Below are 26,543 nucleotides of genomic sequence, written 5' to 3' on the forward strand. Positions count from 1 at the left end.
GCCACTCCTACCCACTTTTGGGTTTGGGGCTCCACTTTGCACGGTCTTTTTCCATGCCTGGCTACCAAGCATTAAGCAGGGGCAAAGAAGGATTTCACCCAGTAACAGAGCAAAACTGTGACCTCTCAAACAACTTAATGTCAGGTGACTCACTTTGGGGAGGGGGCTGTGTGTTTTCTTCACAGACTTGTAGGTGATATTCTGCTGTGCACGGGATTCCTTTCCTACCTTGGTCCTTTCAATCAGATATTTAGGAACTATTTGCTTAAAGATCAATGGGAAATGGAGTTGAGAGCACGGAAAATTCCTTTCACAGAAAACCTGAATCTTATTTCAATGTTGGTGGATCCTCCAACTGTAAGTTTTACTTTCCCAATGTTATTTGAATTTCAGTCTCATTTTATTTCTTACTTACTGAGAAACCCGGCTGGGTGTGGTGGCTCACATCTGTAATCCCAGCACTTTGGGAGGCTGAGGAGGGCAGATCATGAGGTCAGGAGTTCAAGACCAGCCTAACCAACATGGTGAAATCCCCATCTCTACTAAAAATACAAAAGTTAGCCGGGCATGATGGTGCATGCCTGTAATCCTAGCTACTCAGGAGGCTGAGGCAGGAGAATCGCTTCAACCAGGGAGGCAATGGTTCCGAGATCACGCCACTCCACTCCAGACTGGGCAACAAGAGAGAAACTCCATCCCCCCCCCAAAAAAAAGAAACCCAGGTTCATTGAATTTTTTCTTTAACTGGGAAGATTGTTTTGAAAGTGCTTAAGAGTTTTTTTAAAAATAATTTTCTTTATGGTATAAATGTTTCTTTGCGTTTTAAGTAATCTTGCTTCCAAATTAAGACCAATTGCATTGCTATGAACTGAAAGATCATTTGAGAGATATCAGCTTGCTAATACTGGGCCCTTCTTATAACTCTTCATTATTTACACCACTCCTGTGAAGTCATACTCTCTTTCAAACATTTTAGGCAAATGTAGGCATGATCTGTGCTGGTATTAACCTTATTTTCATTATTTGCTATCTTTTTTAGTGTCTAAAAACGTAACAGAATAGCATGTTCTGGTGACCCTAAGTAATAGCAAGTCCTTTCATACTAACCTTCCTTGCTGGGAATTCGATGCCACTGTCAATTTCCGGTATATCTTGCAGAGCTTCTGTTGTAATAAATGCTTTCCAGGCAATTTGTATTCATGAGTTGCTTTTCTGGTTTGCAAATCTGCTCTCCAGTTGCTGTTTCCTTAGGGGATGCCAAGCTATTAATTTCATATTATCTGTATTTAAAAGTTAAAAACTAATCTTTTCCAATTCGAACATTGTTGAATTCACCCTTACAGGGAATAGATTATGTCTTGGAGATGCACTGGGCACTGGTGAAGCAAAGTGGGCCAGAATATTCTTTATTAATTATGGCCTTTGGGGGTCCTGGGATAATTTAACAAAGGTGGAGGCTGGTTGGCTCATTGGATCTCTGATTATTTTATTTTATTTTATTTTATTTTATTTTATTTTATTTTATTTTATTTTATTTTATTTTTTTTAGAGACAAAGTCTTGCTCTGTAGCCCAGACGGAAGTGCAGTGCTGTGATCATGGCTCACAGCAGCCTCAAATTCCTGGGCTCAAGTGACCCTCCCAGACTCCCAAAATGCTGGGATTATAGGCATGAACCACTGCGCCTGGCCCGGTGATTTTATTGATCACATGGTGGGAGGCTGGCAATCCCCTCTAAATTTGGAGAAGGAAATATTCACAAAAGTGTCATTGATGAGCTCCGGCCAATATAATAACTCATCTAATTTATCTCCAGCTATGCAATCACCCATACACCATGTGGGCAGAACCAAAGGGCCGGAAGGGGAAGCTATCAGGGGCTAATTGCCTGGGACTTACCTTGTTCTCTGACATTTCATTATATTCACTATCTCCATTAACCCCAAATCAGGTTTAATATGCAATCAACTTGCTATGATTCCCCTAAGTATGAAAATACAATGCAAAAGGATAAACCTTGTCTTGGGTAATTAAAGAAGGGATTCATTAGATAATAAATTTGTTTTTTTTTAATGTGAATGTTATTTGGTTCACATTTACAAGTTTGCTTTTTTTCGAAGTACAAGTTGCATAGTCTCAAAGGAAAATAATGTCCACATTTTAAATTATTTTACTTTACAGTACTTTTAATTACTAATGAGGGCATTCCTGTTCTCCTTTGAATGGTGATATCCATTTCCTGTTGTTCAGATTGGTGAGTGGGGGCTACAGGGATTACCAGGAGATGATCTCTCAATTCAGAATGGCATTATTGTGACAAAGGCCACCAGATACCCACTCCTCATAGACCCACAAACTCAAGGCAAAACTTGGATTAAATCAAAGGAAAAAGAAAATGATTTACAGGTATGTAGCATTTGGTGCAGGGGAAAGTAATCTTGAAATCATGAAACTCTTTCAAAATTTTGATTGAATCTGCAGTCATAAAGTTGTCATCTCCATGACAAATGTTTGCTAATTCACACTCTTGAGTTTTGTAACAGCAATTTGGGGCAACAGCTCTGATTCTTTTCTCTCTTTTGTACTCTCTTTGGATCCTCCCTCCCCCTCTCTTTGTACATTTCCCTGACTCCATTGCTTTTGCTAATGTCGAATGTGGCTTTTGTTCCGGGCCTTGGGTTTGGGCCTATAGGAAAGTGGCAAATAGAACATTGTGATCCCTCAGTTCAAGACCATTCATGCCAACCTTGCTCAGGCTCTTGGTACTACGTAGCTTACTGAGTCCAGCTTTGGTGCTTGCATCTAATAAGGTGTTAATTTTAAGGTGAGAGTAGACAAGGGCAGGATTCCAACATTCCTGACTCCCTTAGGGATTCTGTTACTATTGATATTTTAATTCAACTACCAATGTGGGATATTCAGTGTTTCCTAGACACTGTTCCCAGTGCTCTAAACCCCCGTCCCCATGTTTTTGCTTATACTGTTTCTACTAACCAAAATGTCTTTCTCTACCTCCACTTATATCCTAGATAAAAATCTCAGATATTCTTCAAAGTCCACATCCACCACTACCTCCATCAAGACTTTTCTGTGTCCCCAGCTCAATATAACCTGTCCTGAATCCTCACAATGTCTTGTTTGCACTCATGTTGTGGACTTAGAATCTGACTTAAATTATTGTTCTTTGCACATTTATCTTTTATTTCTATTGTACCATGAACTCCTTTTTGGCCAAGTTTTATTCATCTTTACATGTTCTGCACTGCTCTTTTTGAGTAGGAATTCTGATATTTATTGAATTTAAGTGAATTAATCAAAGTGTGTCATCATTATAGAAAAAAAGAACCAGGAAAATAATGTGGTCATCTTGATGAATATGAAAAGAAGCACTTGGTAAAATTCAATGCTCATTCATGATCAAATTTCCAGCAAACTGGGAGAGATCTTCCTTAATTAGATAGTTTCTTTTTACAAAAAGCCATAACAAACATCCTATTTAGTGGTGAAATGTTGAAAGATTTCCTCCTGAGATCAGTGCTTCTCATCCAAGTGGATATAGCCCAGTGCTGGGAAGCACACCTAAATACCCCACCTCATCAATACTCCAGAACACGATACATCAGTCTATGTTTACTAAGAAAACCCAGGGAAATCCTAGAATGGACCAGGCAATGTAAATAGAAGAGAAGAGTTAAAAGAAATAGTGTCCATTTCCACGAAGCTTCTTAGGAGCCACATTTTCAGGGGTGCACAAATGTGGTATACCAGAACACTTCTGTTCTTAGTTTCTGCAGCCAGGTCAACTATAACTTGTCCCTGGCCCCATTCCCCTTGGCTCCCCTGGCTTTCAATCTCCCTGCTCATCTTATTCTTGGAACCTTGCCTGGACATCCTTAGCTCAATGCATGCTCCTGTATCACTTGGACATGAATGCTGCTATTTTTTCTGATCTTAGCTTTATCTCTCCATTTCTGGATTAAATTTACTGATAGTCTTCACTGAAGTCCTTTCTGATGCAACCCAGTCCCAGGAACCTTCTTGTGGAAGGAATAGAAATATGCCCGAAACTCTTCCTTATTTTAAAAACCATCCACTGCTGGGATGGAAATAGACTGAATTGTATTCTCCTTACTCAGACAACATTATTTTCTTATGTGGATAAGCACATGTACAAACACATGCAAATGAAAAACAAAGCATAGTTTTTATGCCCAGGGCTGTGGTCAACCTTGGCAGCTTTGCCAAGGCTACCTTCAATGCCATCTCCAGGACCTACAGCTCTGACTTGTGGAAAGAGGATGTATTTACCAAGTCTCCCTATCAGGAATTCACTGGTCACCTTGTAAAGACCCAATACCAGTCTTTGCGCAGGTGAACCAGGCTCTGGGGGTGGCTACCAAATAGTGTTTCACAAGAAAAATCCAGTGAAATAAACCTGAAATTGGGATTCCAAAATACTATTTCAAGTTTCTAAAAGACATTGAAGATGACTGAAGATAATTATCTCCTTACTTGGGAAAGATATCACAAAAATAGAATTTACCCCTTGAGAAATAAAGCAAGATATAAGCAAATTTAGTCTTACTGGTGCTTTTCTTCACCTTGTTTATTAAGTTCATTAAAGTTCTTTGTTTAGATTCTTTTTCCTTATTAACTTACAGGAAGGTCTTTACAGCACATTATTTGTATAAAGAAAGCTATTCATCCAGGGAAACAACTTCCTTCATGTGCAGAATTTTTTTTTAGTTATTTCCTTTTTAATCAAAACAGGACAAAAGTAGGCTGATTTAATTGTTATATTTCATATCTTCTTTTTATCATAGTAATTGAGAGATACATATTTAATTCCATTCTCCTAATCGCCTGTTGTCCCAGTGGATTCTTCCTTGCATCTTATGGTCTGCACCCACAATAGCCTAAGGCATTAGTTGAATTCAGAAGATAGGATACAAAAAGTTGAGAAATGAGCCTTTGGGAATCTTCACAGTTAGGCAGGGGGAGGGATCCTAGGTGAAGTAAGGGTTCAAATCCAATTGGCTCATGCAGAGATGAACCACTACAGTGTGTCTATTTTAACTAATAACAAACGCATTAATCTAAACACGAAGACCCAACCAGGAATTCAGAATTGCAGTTTTAAAAAAATGTAAGCATATATAAAGTGAATGTCTAGTCTTTTAGGTTGACTTTACGGAAAGTGTTAAATTCTTCCCAGTGCCAATAGGAGACAGAATACATGGATAGACCCTCAGTGCGACTCAATATATCATTTCTGACATTCTTATGTTTACTTTTTATCACTTACTCATCTTGTAGGGGTCCTGAGAAAATAAATGAATATCCAGATATGCAAGTTGCTTTGCTTTCTCTGAGCGATTATAGCTATGTAAGTTTGAAAGGATTAATCCTTGACTATTCTCTTCCATCTGTCAGGAGCAGAACTCTGACATTGCATCTGAGCAATGCCCCTTAACCCTCCTCTTTTGATCATAGAGACCCCATTACACATCTAGACCCCATTCAACAAAATCATGACTCACCAAGTTTTAGAAATTAATTTTTGTATGTTACTTTAATTTTTTTAAGTAAGTCTTCTTCTATTGCCCTTAAAATTCTTGATTACCTGTCCAACAAATCTCTCGGTTTCCCTTAGCAATGGGCACATTCTTTGTAACACAGATAGACCAATGAGTTCTTTCTGTTTAGGTGACATCTCTGAACCATAAATATTTTCGCACACACTTGGAGGACAGCCTTTCCTTGGGCCGACCCCTTCTCATTGAGGACATTCATGAAGAGCTGGATCCAGCCTTGGATAATGTATTAGAAAAGAATTTTATTAAATCTGGCACCACTTTCAAGGTGAGCTTTGTAAAAAAAAAAAAAAAGAAAGAAAGAAAGAAAAGAAAAAGAAAAAAAGAAAAAAATTAAGAAAGAGAAAGAAAGAAAAGAACAATGGTGACATCTACTTATCTTATTGAGCATAGCAGCAAATGCAATTTCCTTTAGGCAGTAGTATTTGGTACGTCGGAAATAAACTATTTCCAGACTGATACTTCAGTGTTTCCTTTTATTTTTTATAGCGTATAAAAGTTTCTGAGGTGGGGGCAATATTTTGATAAGAGTAGTCGTTTAGCTAAAACTAAGTAACATTAAGGAAACACATTGTCTGGTCTTAATATGTTAGTGCAACACACAGTATATATATGTTTAAGCAACTCTAGATATTGGTTTTGCAAGCCTTATATATATACATTTTTACAAAATAACCCGGATTTCTTCCCTGGAGAAAATGACATTTTAATAAAGTCATTGATTTGGTAAAGTCATTGATTTAATAAAGTCATTTTAATAAACACATTGATTTGGTCATTTATCTCTTTATTTTCAGTCTAAACTCATTGACTTTGTTGGAAGCTATGGAATATTGTTCTCAATTGTTGGTGATGAATTATTTTCAATTTGTATAAGTGTTTCATGTTTAATTTGTGTCATTCTCTACCTTTAGGCTTCTTAAGTTTTATAACAGCATTTCTGATTGGGTGTTTATTACTTTGGACAACTTAATTTCATGAGTATCAGTGAATAAGTAAAAATGAATATTTTCTCATTAAATAAAGACAGATTTATTCAGAAAAATTTTCTTCATAATGTGAAAATCTTTTATATGCCGCATTTTAAAAAATTCATTCAGCAAAGGTTTATGGAGCATCCAATATATACTTAAGCCTTTATGAGTTTATAGGGAGAAAAATAAATAAAACGCAGTTAGTGTTCTGAAGGTTAGCATCATTCTATAAGATTAGAGGGTAGAATTTCTCTTTTTCATAAAAAGAAGCTAAGAACAAAATTTTGGTGACTGGCTTGGATATTATGGACTCATCCACAATTTTGAACTGCATTTAAAAAGGTTTAATCCACAGGTAAAGATCGTATATATTTAAACTGTACAATGTGATGATTTGGTATACATATACGTTGTATAATGATTACCACAATCAAATTAATTAACACATCCATCACCACACATGCTGTACCTTAGATACCTGAAACTTGTTCATCTTATCACTGAAAGTTTGTACCCTTTGACCAACATCTCCCCATTTCTCCCATCCCCTATCTTGCTGGCAACCACTGTTCTATTCTCTGCTTCTATGAGTTTGACTTTTTTAGATTTCACATGTGAGATCATACAGTGTTTATCTGTGTCTGGCTTATCTTATATGACATATTTAATATGCCAAAGGAGGTTATAGAATCTCTATTCCCGAAGGTCTTTTAAAAGATCCTAGATTTTTATCTGCAATGTGAAGGCATAATGCCTTAGAATGTGATGGTGGCCTTAGTGATGTTTTCGGTCACGGGCAGAATTAAGATTAACCAGAGATTTAAGTCATTTAAAAATTCTATGATTGCCACCTGATTTTTAGATAGCAAAAACCAATTGTTTTTTCAACATGCTGCAAATAGTAGTGTTGAAGATAAATGTTACCTTTTTGAAAAAAGTTGGCGTTTTTCCTTTGAAAATTACATTAACTTTTTCTGTTGTCAAATATGCTTCAGATATACCTATGAAATTCAAAAAACAAAATTTCCTATAAACACATCAAATTTCCACAGTAGGAAACAATTTTCTTAACTGGAGAAAAAATAGCGGCTCCTGTACTACAAACAATTGATGGGAGTGATAAGTACTTGCTAAAATGTTAAAGTCAAATCTTAGATATGTCTAAGTTTTCCTTTATTCACCGTTTGTTTTGGATAACTTTTTCATTTGATTTGCTTGGTATCATTGCTAAAAACATCACCAGGCAGGACTACAATTCTAAATTATTCTAAATTGAATAGGCTTTATTATTTAAGATCAGTGATTAAAATTTTGTAACTTTCCTTCCCAATTTATTGAAGCGTCACAGCACTGACAGGTAAATTCTTTTCTAAATTGAACCCAAGTTCCTTTCCCTGCCCTTTAAGCTGTTTTTAATTTTATATGTGAATTTATGTAGGTGAAAGTCGGTGATAAGGAATGTGATATCATGGATACATTTAAACTTTACATTACTACGAAGTTACCAAATCCTGCCTTTACCCCAGAGATTAATGCTAAAACGTCAGTCATTGATTTCACTGTTACAATGAAAGGACTTGAGAATCAGTTACTAAGGAGAGTCATTCTAACAGAGAAACAGGTAATCTCTCTCTCAAGGTAAAGAATTTCTGCTTATAATACATGCTTAAAATGTATTGAGAAATTGCTAAGTATGTGAAAAAGAAAAAAAAATTTAAAAACCATATTTATCCTTGTTAACATAAGTATTTCTTTTGCAGCCTTAATTCCTGTCAAGAAATCATGTAACTCATCTTCTCATCCAGCCTGAAACACACACACACACACACACACACACACACACACCCGTCTCTTTCTACTTCTGTCTTTAAACTTCTAGGTGTACTGACTCTCTTATGTATAGTCCTTGTCTTGGGGACACCTGAAAACATCAATAAAACAATGATTGAGAGAAAAAGAAATTCCTCTGAATGGCTCTTCTTTCCACTGTAGTAGTTTCAACTACTACAGTCCAATAATCTAATGATATAGGGAGCCATACCTTTATTTTTAATTAAATTTTCCTGCACTAAAGCAGGGAAATTATGTCTAACTGAGGGTTCTAATAAAACAAAGAACAACTTAGGACTGGAAGATTTTAAGAGACTGATACAAGATTAAACTAATTTTTAAGTTGAAGCTCAGAAAACATTGTTTTATGCATAAAATATAATTGCATAAAATATTTTATGTATCTGCATTATAAAGTACATTTGCATAAAATATGATAAAGTAATTAATTTTAGAATTAAAGATTCAAGACAAAGGCAAGGTTAGAAATAATAAGAGCAGCAAGGCATGAAGTGGATGGGTGAGAAAAAGAATGACAAGGGAGGAAAACAGACAGAGGAGGGAAAAGAGGAGATGTGAATCCAGGGTCCCAAACACAGGAGAGACATCCAAGAAGGGAGAGGGAAATGACACAGACACCAAAGAAGTAGACTCAGTGAAAGGCAACATCCTACCTGGCTCATAGACAGTTACCACAGGCACAGGCCCTTGAAAGGTGGCTGGTCTGGTGGAGTGAAAAGGGCACAGTCTCAGCTTTGACTCTCTTAGTTGTTTGATCTTGGTTTCCAACAAACCTGGGGCTTATGCAGTCCAGGAAGGGATCCCGTTCCTCTTCCACAGCCAGGCGGAGATGGCCCTGGCCCGGCAATTCACTGTTTCCATCGCCTCTCAGGATCACATGCTGTTAACTGTTGACAGTTAGTCCCTTGTGGTCTAATTGGTGCTGTGGGTTTATTTTGAGATGATTCCTCGCTGGTCTAGATCCCCCATGCAGGCTGCACTAACCTCCAGAAGTCAAGCAACTCCACTGTCTAAAGGTCCCCAGGGCTCCCCACACCCACTCTTCTTATTCCCTAGCTTCCTCTTCAAGAGATGTGCTAAGATGCTCATAGCAACCTTGCTGGAGAAAAAAATGCACATTTAATATGCAGGAGGGTATTCTAAACATTATATTTAACCCTCCTAACAATCCTACTATTATACCCATATTTTTACAGATGAGCAAATGGAGACCAAAGAAAATAAGGGTCTCGGTCTGTAACAGCACATGGACTTTGCAGCCTGCCAAGCCTCCTAGATAAGGTTTACAGGTCCTGCTATGAAGTTTAGCAAGAGTCCACTGTGCTATGATATCTGTTTTTCCATATCCAGAAAAGGAAGCTAATATGATTTCATTTTGTCCATGTATTCCTATACTGCCACCCAGGGGTGACCATTTTAATGAAAATGACTAACTGGTTATTTCCCTGCAAATACAGCAATGCTCTTTATCGCCCCATCAACTCCTGCCACCCTGTAAGTACAATGGCAATAACACTAGTCTTGGAGTTGGAGGACAAGGGTATTAGGCTGTTTTAACACACAGCTAGTTACTGGCAGAGACCGGCCTAATACCCTTGTTATTCAGAGTTCATATTTCTGGGTCCTTGGCTTTTCCAAATGTAAAATAAAGAAATTGGACTAAATTCAGCACATTTCAGTTTGACAAATATTTATTGGGTTGAGTTTCTTCTTTACAAAGCCACAAGATAAGTACTGTCAATAATACAAAAATGAATAGGAAAGCTTATGTATCTGTTTTCTAGATGCATAAACCGTAGTTGGAGGGAAATAATCTACTGATAGATTGTGATACAAACTATATTAGAGGCCAGGCGTGGTGGCTCACCCCTGTATTCCTAGCACTTTGGAAGGTTGAGGCAGGTGGATTACCTGAGGTCAAGAGTTTGAGACCAGCCTGGCCAACACGGTGAAACCCCGTCTCTACTAAAAATACAAAAATTAGCCAGGCGTGGTGGTGCACGCCTGTAGTCCCAGCTACTCGGGAGTCTGAGGCAGGAGAATTGCTTGAACCTGGGCGGCAGAGGTTGCAGTGAGCCGAGATCACACCACTGTATCCTAGCCTGGGTGTCAGAGGGAGACTCCATCTCAAAAAAACAAAACAAAACAAAACAAAAAACACGCACAGAAAAAAATCACAAAAAAACAAAAAACAAAACAAACTACATTAGATGTACAGATGAAGGCTGTGCCATGGCTTTTGATTGACTGGTTCAGGAAGACTTTTTGAAAATGATGAAATTTCTGAAGCAATTTTCCCAGAAACCTTCCCAAATAAGTTTTAAAACACCTTCTTTTAACGTAATTCTAAGTGCAGCATGTGATTCTGTATAAAATCAGAAGAAAAATGTTGTAAGGAATATTATTGAGATTATTGAGATTTCAATGTAGACTCTGTGTTTAGTGAGAGTATCAGTGATACTGACACATCAGTATCAGTGTTAAATTTCCTGAATTTGAATATTGGGCTACACTTATGTAAAAGAATGACCTGGTTCTTCAGAGATTTGCTAAAGTGTTTAGGGGTAAAAGGACATGACATCCACGAGTGATTCAGCAGTAATAATAATGATAACAACAATAACAATAATGACAACATTATGTATTCTATAGAGATATAGTGATAAAGCAAAATGTGATTTGGTGAATCTAAGTGAAGGCTATATGAAAGTTCCTTGTATTAGGCTTGCAACTTTTTGAATGCTTGAAATTTTTTCAAAATATAATTTTAAAAATATATCATTTTATGTAAGAAGAAAAAAACTCCTGTAAACATTCAAGTTTGCCCTCTGTAGAAGGAGATACAAATAAAATGGAAAATGGGTTTGTATTGGCAATCGGCTGTGCCAAACCAGGTACCTGGTGCTCCCATAGGAACCAGGCCAAGAGCTCACATTTAATCTGGGTAGCCCCTTGGTTTCTTGGTATTATTGCCTTTTTGTTTCTACTTGTTCTGACTGCAAATAAAGATAGCATTTCTTACAGAAGCAGTGTGGGAACAGGGCCAAGAGAATGGGACATGCTATTTATAAACTTAAAGCTGGCAAGAGAGCTTGGGGTAATTGGGCAAAATTATTTAGCAGAATTGTCTGGTGCCTGCCAGTATAAGTGCTGTGGAACCTTAATGACAGTAGGCATAATTTTAAAAAAATTTCCACAGAAACAAAAATATGGATAGATAGATTTGGCTAATGATAGTAATTTCTTCTGCCATTCAAAAGGTACTTTGCTTTAAACTTTTAAAATTGTTAATAAACACTAGTGAGTTGGGTTTACTGTAATAACTGGTAATTATAGTTCCAATGTTATTTTTTGTTTTTTAATGACAGGAGTTAGAGGCTGAGAGGGTTAAACTTTTGGAGGATGTTACTTTTAATAAGCGGAAGATGAAAGAACTTGAAGATAACCTCCTCTATAAATTAAGTGCTACAAAAGGTATTGTGTTATTAAGAAGTAATGAAATAACGGATTCTGAATAAGGATTTCATTTACACTCTTTTCAATGCCCTCATGACTATAGATGTTAGGAAATACTCATGTTATCAATGCAAAAACAAGCAAGGCAATTTCCATCTAGACATTAAAGAGGGACGGCAGAGAATCTGATTTTTGAATTAGCAAATAGAGACTGAGCATCTGAGAATAACACAATTTTCTTGATATAATTGCTTTCTCCTGAGAAAAATTAGGGCTCCTGATAGAGCTAGATAACTCATTATAGGTTAATTTGCTTGCCCCAAAGAAACTAATGTGCTCAATCTATTTTTTTTTTTTTTTTGAGACAGAGTCTTGCTCTGTCTCCCAAGCCAGACGTGGTGGCTCATGCTTCTAATCCCAGCACTTTGGGAGACCAAGGCGGGTGGATCACCTGAGGTCAGGAGTTTGAGAACAGCCTGGCCAACATGGTGAAACTCAATCTATTTTTTTTCAAATTGACTCTTTCATTTGGCATTGAAATGCAGTTATTGCAACGGGTTATGACACATGTAATCCATGTCAGAAGAGCTTGGGTACCAAAGGCCCAGCTTACCCTCTACTTGGCTTGACCTCCCACTTTAGATGGGAAAGACAGGTTCTCCTCTGGGCAGCCAAATCATCATGCCACACCTCAATTTGAGGATGTACTCTCTCTGCAATATATAAAAAGAAAATTTTATCCAAAGAAAATAAAATCAACAAACATATTGTTCTGTAGCAGACAAATCACAGAAACCTGAATTCTACTACCTTATTAGAAGTGAATGAATACTTCACAACTGCACCTTAATCCCGGGATGTTATTTAAACAAGTCTGACCTTCCAGAAGTACTGTACCTTTATGGTGAGCTTAGTGAAAAGTCCTTTTATCTGCCTACTCGCACTGCTCCCGCTAGTGAAGTTGTCTGTTTCTTGGTCCAGTGACTCCTCCCAGCCATTTGGGATACCCCTGGGCATTAAAAATATAGCAAGCAGAGCTGAGGGCTGCTCCCCTAGTCTAGCCAAGAGTGTGCTGGATCAAGACCTCTCTCCTTGAGGTTAATCCCAATTTGGACTTCCACAGTAGACAGCATACCCGTTGGAGTAACACAGCCCTTCCTGCAGCACTTGTCTGCCATCCCGAACTCTAGGGTAGGCCAGAGTGCTGCTGTTCGCAGATATGGGAACTGTTCGCAGATATGGGGACTGTTAGCTCAGTACATCCAAGGTGTCTTTCCTTAGATTTTAATTAAAAACCAAATTCATTGTCATAAACATGCACTATTTCCATTAAAAACAATAATAAAAAAAAAGGATGAGTTCATGTCCTTTGCAGGGACATGGATGAAACTGGAAACCATCATTCTCAGCAAAGTAATATCAGAATAGAAAACCAAACACCGCATGTTCTCACTCATAAGTGGGAGTTGAACAATAAGAACACATGGACACAGGGAGGGGAACATCACACACTGGGGCCTGTCGGTGGGTAGGGGTCTGGGGGGAGGGATAGCGTTAGGAGAAATACCTAATGTAAATGACAAGTTGATGGGTGCAGCAAACAAACATGGCCCATGTATACCTATGTAACAAACCTGCACGTTCTGCATGTGTACCCCAGAACTTAAAGTATAATAAAAAAAAAAATAATGAAAGGCAAAACTAAAAATAAAATTCAAGTTTCTCTTCCTGGTGAGACATTTTCACTATACCCAATTTGCTCTTGTTAGAGACAGAGGGATTAGAGTTTTCTATAGCAACGACTGTTCTACTAAAGCAGTGTGAGGAGTGTACCATTCAACTATCAGCATGACAGTCAGCCCATGTGTGAAGTGTTCAGGTTAGCTACACCCTGAGACAAGCAGCGTGGACAAGCTGTGACACTTTGAGGAGAGCCACCAAGATGACAGTGGGTGTGAAGCCTATCACATGGGGAACAGCAAAGAGCACTGGAGACATGATCATTGTCTTGAGACATGTGAAGACCCAATCAAATGGGTCTTTTGCTTTTTGCAGATGTTTAGGCAGAGCAGGGGATAGTCTGTCAGCAGGAATGTTCAGAAGGCTTCAGGTATTGGGTGGTAGTTGGACTAGAAGCTTTTTGGTGTCTTAAGATTCTACTGTACCAGTAGTCTTCCTGACTTTGGAGACATCAAGTTGAAAGCTAACAGCGTTTTTTTTTTTTCAGAAGAGATGTATCTTGCTTTGCAAGTTTCCCGTCTTGTGTACTACGGTTTTCCTGTTTTGAATTTCAGGCTCATTGGTAGATGACGAATCTCTCATTGGTGTACTTCGAACTACCAAGCAGACAGCAGCTGAGGTAAGTGAAAAGTTGCATGTGGCTGCAGAAACTGAGATCAAGATCAACGCGGCTCAGGAGGAGTTCCGGCCCGCAGCCACCCGCGGAAGCATCCTCTACTTCCTCATCACAGAGATGAGCATGGTCAACATCATGTATCAGACGTCATTGGCCCAGTTCTTGAAGTTATTTGACCAGTCCATGGCCAGGTGAGTCCTCACTACCTTCATCCAAAAGTGGTGACTTAAAAGTTTGCTTGTATTTCTACTCTTTTAGAAATTGCTTTTTCACTATTCACAATAGCAAAGACATGGAATCAACCTAAATGCCCATCAACAGTAGAGTGGATAAAGAAAAGGTGGTACATATACAACGGGGAATACTATGCAGCCATAAAAAAGAATGAACTCATGTCCTTTGCAGAAACATGGATGAAGCTGGAGGCCATTATCCTTAGCAAACTAACACAGGAACGGAAAACCAAATACCGCATAGTCTCATTTATAAGTAGGAACTAAATGATGATACCACATGGACACATAGAGGAGAACAACAGACACTGTGACCTGTCAGAGAGTGGAGGGTGGGAGGAGGGAGAGGATCAAGAAAAATAACTAATGGGTACTAGGCTTAATACCTGGGTGATGAATTAATCTGTGCAACAAACCACCATGACATAGGTTTACCGACGTACAAACCTTCATGTGTACCCCTGAACTTGAAAGTTTTTTAAAAAAAGAAATTGCCCTTTGCTTCTTTGATTCTTAAAATGTGTTTCAGATCTGAAAAGTCACCACTACCTCAAAAGAGAATTACAAATATTATCGAGTACCTGACATATGAAGTTTTTACATACTCTGTCAGAGGCCTATACGAAAACCACAAATTCCTGTTTGTACTCCTCATGACCTTAAAGATTGACCTTCAGAGAGGGACAGTTAAGCACAGAGAGTTTCAAGCTCTCATTAAAGGTAAAGTGTGTGGGATACAGATGTGGTGTGTGGAGGATGTTGCTTTTGATATGCTCTTTGATATACCATAAACCCATTTCTGTGATACAGTAGGGAAATGATGTTCTAACGAAAGTTTAATTAAGTTTTATTTTTAATACCTTTTTTCTGTTTTTCATTCGTTTTGCCCTAGTTACTTAAGATTCAGGCCTGTGCCAACTCACCTGAATATTGGTATTATTGTAGTTATTGATATAACTACATTCAGTTTATTCACTGCTGCCCATGCCAGGAAAAGTGATACTGGTGATGGCTTTCTTTAGCAGGACAGCCATTCCCTCAGCAAGGGAGTATAATGATTTTTCAGACTGCAAGAAAAGGCTCACTTATGTTTCATATTTGAAGTTAATCCTATTCATTGCATATCTCCATGTTAAAGGTATAATTAAGGAGACAAAAGAATGGAATTTTCATTTCAGTTTAGTTACACGAGTATTTACTGAGCACATGTTATGTAAACCCACCACGCTAGCTTTGGGGATGTAAGAATAAACCAGATATTGCTTGAAAAGAAATAATAACCTCAGAATGGGGATAAAGATAATTTAAAAATAACTCCAAAGTAAGGCAGAATCACCTAAGTGCTATAAGAGAGCTAAGAAACAAGTGTTGAGTCTAAAAGGAGGGAAAGATTACATGTGGTTGGTGAAATCAAAAAGTTTCTTAGAAAATATACCTTTGTGGGTTAAGCCATGAATTGGGGAACTATTTGGTACGTGGCAAAATGTTTCAATCTTTTTCTTGTGTTTTTGGCTCTTTATGTATGATTTAACCAATTATTTTCTGGCTCCCCACACCCCATAAAGAAAGTGGCATTTGAGGTGGACCCTGAAGAGGTAGAAATGAGGAAAACATTCCATGCTGAAATGGAACAGCATGAGAAAGGGAACGAGTGGAGAACATCTAAGTTGTAAGAATCAGTCTGGTTTTGTTGAAATGAAAGGTGGATATGGAGGCATACTGAGAAATAGAGCTGGACATGTAAACTGGTGACATACTGTGGAGAGCCTGGGTTCCTGTAGGAAGGATTTTCTTGATCTGGGAAGAAACAGGGAGTTGTGTAAGGTGGTGACGTGATTGATCATTATGGTCATTTAGGGAGGTGAACTTGGCACACGTGTAAGGATCAAAGAAAAGAGGTTCAAGGGAGTCTCTTTCAATCTTCCCAACTGCAGGAATACATTCCTAACCTAGCGTAAAGGCAATGGGAATATACAGGGAGATAAGGGTGTAGAGATTAAGGAAGTAAAATGGCAAAACCGATGCATACAAGAGCCAAGAGAGCATGCAGAAATGAGTCTATGATTTCTGGCCTATGCAGAGATTTCTGGTCTGGTGGTTGGAAGAGGAGTTGGTTTGAGGAGGGTTGGAGTGGGGGATTGCTGGATGTGATTTTAGGACCTGTTTAGTCAGAATCAGAATAGGCCAGGTTTTGCTGCCATAAAAACAATCTCAAAATTTCAGTGACTTAACACAACCAAGGTGTACTTCTCATTCATGTTACCTCTCCAACGTGCTGTTATAGTCACTCAGAAATCCACATTGCTTCCATAACTACTATGGCAGAGGGGCAAGGATGTGGCAGACTGTGCACTGGCTCTTAAAAGTTACCCCACAAGTGACACATGTCACTTACGCTCCTATTTCCTTAGCCAAAGCCAGACACACAGCCACATCTCACTTCAAAAAGAGCAGGGAAATGCAGTTCCCCGTGTGTTTGAAAGGCGGGGAAACAGTTTGTGACCAGCTCTTATGACTACAGACGTGAAATTTGAGCTATCCAGAAAACAATTAGAAAAGATAACCTAGGCCGGGCGCGGTGGCTAATGCCTGTAATCCCAGCACTTTGGGAGGCTGAGGCAGGCGGATCACAAGGTCAGGAGATCGAGACCATCCTGGTCACCGGTTTAGGTGAAACCCTGTCTCTACTAAAAATACAAAAATTAGCTGGGCGTGGTGGCACGTGTCTGTAGTCCCAGCTACTCGGGAAGCTGAAGCAGGAGAATCACTTGAACCAGGGAGTCGGAGGTTGCAGTGAGCAGAGATCATGCCACTGCACTCCAGCCTGGTGACAGAGTGAGACTCTGTCTCAGAAAAAAAAAAAAGGAATCTAGACAGTCCAAGAGAAGAGTCAGGCAGTTACAAAGATGGGGTACAGAAATAACAGCCAAAGCCATGGGAATGAAAGCTAATCTAGGGAAAAAATGTGGAGTATTTCTAACCCACAAGGTGATAGGACCTGCTATACTTTTGTCCTCTGCAGCCTATTTATAATAAACGGGCAGTCACCGATAACTTCTTACTCTTTCTCTACTTCATTTAATTCCTTCCTCAGATTCAGGTTAGATTACCACTGTGGAAACTTCGCAAACTATTTTGCATCATCTCTGAAATCTCTTCTTTGTGCCTTTTTCATGAACACAGGTTTTATTTCTGGTAGTTCCAAGGAAGTTGAAATGTATCATGTGGTTCATATTTTTTTCACAGGTCTAATGCACTTATGGAAGTTGGTTTTTTAAGGCAGTGTGGTGTGGTACAATGAACACTATCTAGGGTGGGGAGGAGGCACTGCAGAGAGTGTCAAGATGTATGAGGTTTTGGTCTTGGGGATGCTTAAGTAAAGTAAGTGAATTTACCCAATCTGGAAACCTATTTTACCTCATTTCAAAAATCTTTAAGCCCTCACTTGGACTTGGGCTGCAGCCCTGGTATTGTATGATGCTGAGCAGGGGGGTAGGGGGCATTGAAGCGTGCTGAAATCCAGGCAGCAGTGGCAGCAAAATGACCCCCACAATCTGGGGAAGCCTCATATCTATGCACCATGGTCTGAATGTTTGTGTCCCCTCAAACTTCATCTGTTGAAATCTTACCCCACCCCCTCCAAGGTGATGGTATTAGCATGTGAGGCCTTTGGAAGGTGATTAGGTCATGAGGGTAGAGCTCTCGTGAATGGGGTTAGTGCCTTTATGAAAGAGGCCTGAGGGAGCTCACTCCCCCTCCCACCATGTCAGGACACCATGAAAGGAGCCATCTATGCACCAGGAAATGGGCCCTCACCAGACGTTGAATTCATCAGGGTCTTGATCTTGGACTCCCCAGCCTCCAGAGCTGTGAGAAATAAAAATTTCTGTTGTTTCTAAGCCACCCAGCGTATGGTATTTGGTGATAGTGGCTGAATGGACAAAGATACCGTGCAATACGAGTGGAGGAGAAGTATACTTTTGAATCTTTCCTTACTGGTGAGCTGGCTTTGCTTCCTCAATGCCATCTGCTAATATGACCCCTGAGAAGGAGGCACATATGACATAGAAAGGAAGAAGTGGGAAACCTGGTGCCTGGGTCCACAGTGGATGGTGGGAAGGAAAAAGGAGGTCAGAGGTAGAAAGAGGAGGTCAGGTGCAAAGATCCTCATCTCTTCCTTGCCTCCTGAGGGAGCTGAGAAGGGGAGAGTGCCGGAGAAACTCCCAGATAGGAGATGCCCCTGCATTCTGCCCAGTGTCACACCCACCATGGAAGCAGGGGAATGGCTGGATGGGTGAGCCTGAGGTTTGGCTGGCACACAGCAGAGACTAGAGGTCAAACCAAAAAGCTGTCAAGAAAGAGAACTTTGTACCTGCAGACAAAGGACCAATGCCAGGAGCTGGGGCAGTGGATTGCAGTCCAGGGCCCCAACAGATAGCATTTGTCGTAGCTCATAGGATACAGTACAGGGACCTAGCCTGCACCTGAGGTGTGGGAAGCCTGGAGGGCAGCCTGCATACCTGAGGCATGCTCGATACTAAGACATAGTCCCACCCCGTCTCACCTCTCCCACCTACCAACCAGGCAGACCAGAGCTACTACCTGAAAGAGACTGGGTTATTTGAAAGAGGGTGGGTAAACCAGAGGAGACTGAGAAACACGGCAACACAGTGGGGAGGGAATTCATCAGGGAGGATTAGATTTGTTACAGAAAAATAAAGAAGGCTGAACACATGGGTTGTGGTGTGAGCACATTTGTGACCCCATTTCATGAAATTGGAGTCAGGGAGAACTATACTGTATAGGGCCAGGAGAGTCAGTGAGAGGAGTTTGGATTTAATTTAGTTGGCAATAGGGAGCCATCGAATGTTTTATGAGCAGGGATGTGGCATGAACAGAACAGTGCTTTAAGAAGATTAATTTGGGATTTTATGATAGGTTGATTGACAGCAGTACAATTGGCTTAGCAATAAAGGAGTTTTTCTTTTTAAACAAAACATAACATTTGTTTTAGTTTTGAACTGGCTTACATTTTGACTGAATTATCTTTAAAAGATGGTATGACTTTGTTTTTAATGTTTCTTTACAAAGTTAACAAATATGATCCTTAGATCACAGATACTTTTAAAAAATCATTTTGAACTCAATACTTAAGGGGGAGAGTGGAAGAGTTATTTATCCTAGCAGAAATGTTTGATTTCCCAAGAGTGACAGGTTTTTTTTGTTTGTTTCAATTACTACTTGCTTTCTGCAATATTTGCAAGGTGCCTTTGACTTTCTTCTTCAACCAAAAATGTCAGAACACTTTGAAAAATGAAATGGATACCAGGCGCAATCCTGCATTATAGAGCAATGGACTTATCTTTCTTCCCTGTCTGGTTATTTTAGAAAGATATTATCTTTCTTTTGTCATAGACTCTGTACAAAAAGACACCTTAGGGGGTCTTTTCTTGCCTTCCAAACTGGACTGAACCTGGGCCTTCCAAGCGGGGAAAGAAAAAGAGAGAGAGAAAGAATGTCAGAACAAGAGCTAATGATTACATAGCTCTTATTATTATTCTATACTGTTCTAGGTACATTAATGTATTTAACCTTCACAGCAGCCAATCTGGTAGATTCTATCAGACATCCACTTGGCAGATGAGGAAACTGAGAGGGATTCATGTTTTTTTGTTCAAGTTTATGCAGCTAACAAGCGGCAGAGCCAGGATATTTTGGGGGAATAGGAAGGGCTGTCATTGTTCTGGGTTAGTTTAGGAAACACAAAGGTAGCTTAGATTTCTTCTCCTGGTGTCTCTAAAGCTCAGGATTACATGAAAACATTTCTTTGGAAACAACCAAGAAGAAAAGGGGTGAGTTTGTCTCTGTGCCAGGCCTGCAGGTGGCTCTCTCTAGTGGCTGCTTCTCGCACCAGTGACTCCTACATTAGCAATACTGTTGCTCCAGTGAGACCTGCTCTGTCTCCAGGTTGCAGAGGGGCCGACAGTAAGAAGAAGGTTTACACATTGTTCTAAAGGTGTTGTTGCACTCAGAGCCACAGATTCCCAAGTCCCCTGTGGTGAAGCAAATGGGTTTACATGAAAAAAGTACTTTCGTTCATACAGCTACTCAGGACGATGCTAGATGGGGAGAGCAAAGACCTGTAGTTCCCCCAAGCCCCTTTTTGGTCCATGAGTTGATTTGTGAACTGGAAGGAATGATGAGTTCTTAAGGAAGATGATAAGATTTAAAAGTTAAAGAATCACTGCTTTGCATGCATCTGAATTAAACAACAGTGGAGCTGGAATTATTATGATACATTACTAAAGACATGCAATAGAGGAATTTTTAAATTGTAAATATCATCATGTATTTCATTGGAAAATGCTGGGTATGCCCATTTGGCCTGAGATATGCTTCAGAATATGATCAATGCTGTAACTCATTCTCCACTGGACTCAAGCTCTGTAAAAGCAAGGGCCTGGTTGGGTTTTCTGTGCTATATCCCCCAGTGTCTGGAACATGTCAAACACCTGGAGGGCGCTCAATAAATATTTGTTCAATCAATGAATGGATAAATGATTTAAATATTACTCATCCACTAAAAAACCCATAGATCTATTATATCATTTCCTCCTTCACTTCCTTCTTTATTCCCCCCCTCTTTTTATCCCTGGCCTATGTTTCTCCCACCCTCCTTCCTTAACCCTAACCCCAACCTTAACCCTAACCCTAACCCTAACCCTAACCCTAACCCTAACCTTAACCCCAACCCTAACCCATCCATGTCTTTATCTATCTGTTTGACCTGGTAACAAGTAGTTTTTAATGGCAAGCTTCTGGAGGAGTAATGACTAAGAAGTGATATTTAAAATCCACACATGGAAAGATCAACATATTCATTGATATCAAAATTATAAGTTTTAGGTTGTTAAAAAATAAAAAGCAAACAAATATAATCACTTGAGAAAAATTCTTTGCAGGGAAAAATGACAGAGTTGTTATTTATACCTTATAAGATGGTATAAATCAGTAAATAAAACACTAAGACTTGAAGGAAATGTACCAAAAAACCCTCACATTTTCTGTAATATTATTATTTTCCAATTTTCCTATATTTTCAGTAATGTGGCTATTTTGCTTTTATTATTTGAAAAGTACATTTCTAGAAGTGAAGTACAGGCTTACCCAATTCACCCTGTCTGACGCTCTTCCCCAGGGGGAGCAGCTCTGGACCTGAAAGCCTGTCCTCCCAAACCCTATCGCTGGATCCTTGACATGACTTGGCTGAATCTTGTGGAGCTGAGTAAACTTCCACAATTTGCAGAAATTATGAACCAGGTAATACAATAAAGGGCTGGTTGAAAGTGCAGATCTGCAAACCCAAACATACCTGGGCCGCTTAAACTGGGGCTTCCTGGCAGCAATTCCTTCACCCAAAAAAGTCAACCCAATAGTTTGGATTTGAGGCTCTGTGGCTGTCTGGGAGAGATCTTGGACAGATGGACCTCAGGGTTAACCTCTTCATAGTTGCAGGCAACTATGTTTTCCTCCTGTGTGGTGGGCATGGGTCATTTTTGTATGCCTGTTAGAGTTGCTGCTGGAATCAGAACCAGTAGATGGACCCTTTTATTGTAGACGACTCATGCTTTTACACTTTAACTTCTGCCTATGATTAAGTGATTTGTACAGATTTGAATGTGAGTCAAATTAAGAGGTTGAGGTCCCTCTAAAAAATTAATTATTTTAGTGGTGAAATATAATGGTGAAAATGGAGAAATAGGTACCGATTTGCTTGTTGTTTTTTTCTTATTTGAAAATGTACATTGATTACTGTGGATTAATTGTTGAGTCAATTGTTACTGGAAAACAATCATGAGACTCAGAATAAAGATAGCTGTTTCTTACTGGGTTCTGTTGGCTGCAACTGCCTGTCACTAATGGAGCCTGCAGTTTCCCAGTGTCAGATGCCAATAATCATCTCTTTTCTATGGCTGCTAGTGACTGACAGATGGGGCCATAGGTAGACTGCAGGTTGTCAGAGCCTCATGCTGTAATCACCAATCCCCTGCCCAACATACTGTGTTAGCTGCCTCTGTTTGTTTAGTGGCATTTCTGAAACATTGTGTAGACTCTACCTATTCAGCCTGGTTGGGTCTGAGTCAATTGGATAAACTCTCTGGGTTCCATCTGTGGATAGACAGTGAGCTTTGTTTTGTAGTACAACCACAGATGAGTCCTCCAAGCCCAAACAAATGCTTGGAAAAAGAAAGTGATCTTGGGCTGGGCCCGATGGTTCACGCCTGTAATCCCAGCACTTTAGGAGGCTGAGCCAGGTGGATCACGAGGTCAGGAGTTTGAGACCAGCCTGACCAACATAGTGAAACCCCGACTCTACTAAAAATACAAAATATTAGCTGGGTGTGGTGGCGGGTGCCTGTAATCCCAGCTACTCGGGAGGCTGAGGCAGGAGAATCGCTTAAAACTGGGAAGCGGGGGTTGCAGTGAGCCGAAATTGCACCGTTGCACTCCAGCCTGGGTGACAGTGTGAGACTCTGTCTTGGGGGAAAAAAAAAGAAAAGAAAGTGATCTCGGTCTGATCAGAGATTGGGTAAGGGAGATAGTCAAGAACCACTGGAAAAATCACTTGAAGCCCACGCCCTCTAATGATGGTTTATATTGATACAAGGATATTTATTATTGTTTGCCTCTGCCAACTAGGTTTTAACTACTCATGAGGTAGAATATAGTAGCTATTACTGCTTACTATGGGATAGGTACTTTGCAACAATAACCCTGCCACAGAAGGGCAGAGTTATTGACCCTAATTTATAGATGAGATAACAGAGATTCAAAGAGTTAGTTAAGTACTTGCCCAAGAGCCCATTGCCAATAAGTGGCAAAGCTCATGCTCTTCCCATGCCATCATGAGTTATTTCTCTCCCACTCCTCTTACACCACCGATTGGGCCAGAAGTGGGGTGAGGGGCAGTTCTCAGGAAGGTTGCAAAAGTTCAGCGGAGACCTGCAGTCAGGTGGCCATCAGTCTGGCCTGCCTGTGGGAAGGAAGGGAGGAAGCAGAAGATCAATCTCCCAGCTGAGTGGATGTCAGGAACTGAAATATAATAGAGCAGCTGCCCTGACCTTGGCATCCCAGGCCAAGGGTCAGGAAAAGGAATGAGAAATGGAGATGGACATCCAGAGGCTGGAAGTCATCTTATCACCTATCATGGCTGCAGCTCACTTTGAAGCTCTACTGTGGTCAAGTCAAAATTAGCAGGTGGAAAGTCAGTAGGTGAAGAATAGTCATCCGCTTTCTTCCTGTGCCTCAGCTGCAGATGTGGAGGAGGCCTGTGGGGGACACTGTGGGCAGGGGCAAGGTAGGGCTCGCAACACCCAGGCCCTGGCATGCAGGCATCTTCTTTGAGGGCAGCCAACCAGAGAGAGCTGCTGCAATCTTCAGGAGATAGATGGCAGTTGTGAAACATTTCAGAAATCCTCTTCTTTTTTTTTTTTCTTGAGATGGAGTCTCACTCTGTTGCCCAGGCTGGAGTGCAATGGCGCAATCTCAGCTCACTGCAACCTCCAGCTCCTGGGTTGAAACAATTCTTCTGTCTCAGTCTCCTGAGTAGCTAGGATTACAGATACACGCTGCCACGCCCAGCTAATTTTTTGTATTTTAGTAGGGACGGAGTTCCACCGTGTTGCCCAAGCTGGTCGCGAACTCCTGAGCTCAGGCACTCTGCCCGCCTCTGCCTCCCAAAGTGCTGGGATTACAGGCATGAGCCACCATGCCAGGCCAGAAATCCCCTTCATCTTTTAGTGCCCCAGGGACAAAGTGGGAGCAACTGAGTTGCAGAATAACTGTTCTGTTATTAATTTATACTCTATCTGTATCCTGTATGATGAATTGTTCACACCACAGATATGAGACTTTGGACAGTTATTTAACCTCTCTATGCCTCAATAAAAAGTAGGGGTCATAGAGGAAAAAGTGTAATCCTCAGGTCTGGCATAGGGCATCTGCTATGTGAGCCTTTGCTATTTGCTATTACTGCTTACTGTGGCTTTTTTATTTTAATTTTAATTTTTTTATTTTTTTGTTTTTGAGGGGGAGTTTCGCTCTTGTTGCCCAGAGCTGGAGTGCAATGGCACAATCTTGGCTCACAGCAACATCTGCCTCCTCGGTTCAAGTGATTCTCCTGCCTCAGCCTCCCGAGTAGCTGGGATTACAGGCATGTGCCACCACGCCCGGCTAATTTTTTTATTTTTAGTAGAGACAGGGTTTCTCCATGTTGGTCAGGCTGGTCTCGAACTCCCGACCTCAGGTGATCTGCCCGCCTCGGCCTCCCAAAGTGCTTACAGGCATGAGCCACTGTGTACTGTGGCTTTTTTAAAAGCACACTTACAAACACCGTCTAAATAACCCAGCCTGATTGTTGCTGAAGAGCAGGGATAGGCTCAATAATCTATAGTTTTCGTACTTAGTCTTGATGGAACTTGGGCGTCAGTGAGCACCTTTTAATGCCTCTGAAAACCTGAAGTCCTTTTCATGCTTCTGAACAATATTTAAGACCAGCTGTTGGAGAGACTCCTTTCGTTATTAGGCTTTAGGTCTCAAGGTGGGGGATCACTAGGAAAATAAAAGTTTTGATTTTGTCATCTATCATTATTTTTAAGTAGAGATCAACATTTAGAGGTTGGGTTATCAGAATGGTCTGTCAGTGGTTCTCAACTGAGGGTAATCTACCCACCCCCAGGGGCATTTGGCTGTGTCTGGAGACATTTTTGATTGTTAGGACCCGGGTGGAGGGTGCTACTGGCATCTAGTGGATAGGGACGCTGCTAAACATCCTACAATGCCCAGGACAGCACCCCCCACAAAAAAAATTCAGATCCAAATGACAGTAATACCAAGCTTGAGAAACCTTGATTTGTGTTTCTTCTGGCCCAATCATTTGGTGCAGTTGACACACGATCCTAATTGTAGCGAATAATGTAGAAAAATAATGGAAGAACTGGAAGGGAATAGTAATATCCAAGTTATTCAAGTCATTGATCCTGAAGAAAGGTTTAAACTGTGCTGTTATGCTTGAAAAATTATCTGCCTGTAAAGAATGACCCTCTCAGGTGATTCAGAATCCTTTGTAATATATTCCACTTACATATAGTTCTGTGGCTTGCTAATTGGCTTGCTTCTTTTAGATATCTCGTAATGAGAAGGGGTGGAAAAGCTGGTTTGATAAAGATGCTCCAGAGGAGGAAATTATCCCTGATGGATATAATGATTCACTAGATACCTGCCATAAACTTTTACTTATCAGGTGAGAACAGGCATTATCAGACCTAGAAGCATCACTCATAATATTGCTAAATTACAGATTTTATCTCAGTGAGTTTACTTCACTATATCACTGTCATTGAAAGTAACGGCAAAAACCGCAATTACTTTTGTGCCAACCTAATATTATAAGAAATGTATGTACTTCCAAATTATGGTTTTGGATAGCAGTTCTTCAGTTCCTTGACAAGCAAAATAAAATGGTGATGGTGACAGGGAATGATGTATTTTGACAACGTATTAATGATAGTGCTTTTAGCAAAAAGCGTGAAAAATATGCTTTTAATATTCACTTTGTTCATGATTTACCATTGAGTGTAAATCAGTTATTGTTGAATTTATTTCTTTAAAAAAACAGACCTCACAAAGTTACAAGACAATTAGCTTATAAGCTAAAGTTAAATTGCATTCGAGAAAAAAACCCAATAATATTGCACTGAATTTGAAATATATAAATGCTACTTTTGGCTATAAAATGGAAACAAAAGTTTGAAATTGATGTTAAAGAAGAAAATCGCCCTCTCTTTTCACTGTTTACATTTTCTCAGTATCCAGTAACTCAGAGACCTTCCACATTGAAAAAAATCAGTGTGTGTGTCTGCGTGTGTGTGTGTGTGTGTGTGTGTGTGTGTGTTTGTATGGTGGATGGGTAAGGCAGAGGAGTAAAGCAGGGGAGATGAGACCCCCACATGAAAAATGAGAGGTAGAGTTATTTTGAAGCAATTTTTTCTTTTCTAATGTTATACACCTAAGTTTCCACT

The 26,543-nt window shown here is 39.9% G+C and overlaps 1 protein-coding gene and 1 long non-coding RNA gene across 9 annotated transcripts in view; one reads left to right on the forward strand and one right to left on the reverse strand.

Moving 5' to 3' along the window:
- The window catches only part of DNAH8 (dynein axonemal heavy chain 8), a 315,482-nt gene that overhangs the window by 208,495 nt on the left and 80,444 nt on the right, over nucleotides 1-26,543 (forward strand). For 7 of the 8 annotated variants that reach the window (XR_926078.3, NM_001206927.2, XM_011514319.3 and 4 more), the window contains 9 exons: nucleotides 186-357; nucleotides 2,250-2,405; nucleotides 5,706-5,861; nucleotides 8,006-8,188; nucleotides 11,787-11,892; nucleotides 14,169-14,421; nucleotides 14,993-15,183; nucleotides 21,662-21,783; nucleotides 25,647-25,765. Coding sequence is in view for 7 of the 8 variants with exons in the window: in NM_001206927.2 (NP_001193856.1) it covers nucleotides 186-357; nucleotides 2,250-2,405; nucleotides 5,706-5,861; nucleotides 8,006-8,188; nucleotides 11,787-11,892; nucleotides 14,169-14,421; nucleotides 14,993-15,183; nucleotides 21,662-21,783; nucleotides 25,647-25,765 (1,458 nt within the window). In the remaining variant the exon portion in view is untranslated. The remainder of the gene's footprint in view (nucleotides 1-185; nucleotides 358-2,249; nucleotides 2,406-5,705; nucleotides 5,862-8,005; nucleotides 8,189-11,786; nucleotides 11,893-14,168; nucleotides 14,422-14,992; nucleotides 15,184-21,661; nucleotides 21,784-25,646; nucleotides 25,766-26,543) is intronic. The other variant, XM_017010326.2, reaches the window with a different exon arrangement.
- DNAH8-AS1 (DNAH8 antisense RNA 1) overlaps nucleotides 1-26,543 on the reverse strand; it is a 46,613-nt gene that overhangs the window by 17,311 nt on the left and 2,759 nt on the right. Inside the window, exons 2-3 of the long non-coding RNA NR_038401.1 lie at nucleotides 12,488-12,587; nucleotides 1,108-1,246 (exon numbers count right to left, since the gene is read on the reverse strand). This is a non-coding gene — a long non-coding RNA (DNAH8 antisense RNA 1). The remainder of the gene's footprint in view (nucleotides 1-1,107; nucleotides 1,247-12,487; nucleotides 12,588-26,543) is intronic.

Source organism: Homo sapiens, chromosome 6 (genome assembly GCF_000001405.40).
Source record: "Homo sapiens chromosome 6, GRCh38.p14 Primary Assembly".
In the NCBI taxonomy this organism is placed as follows: domain Eukaryota; kingdom Metazoa; phylum Chordata; class Mammalia; order Primates; family Hominidae; genus Homo; species Homo sapiens.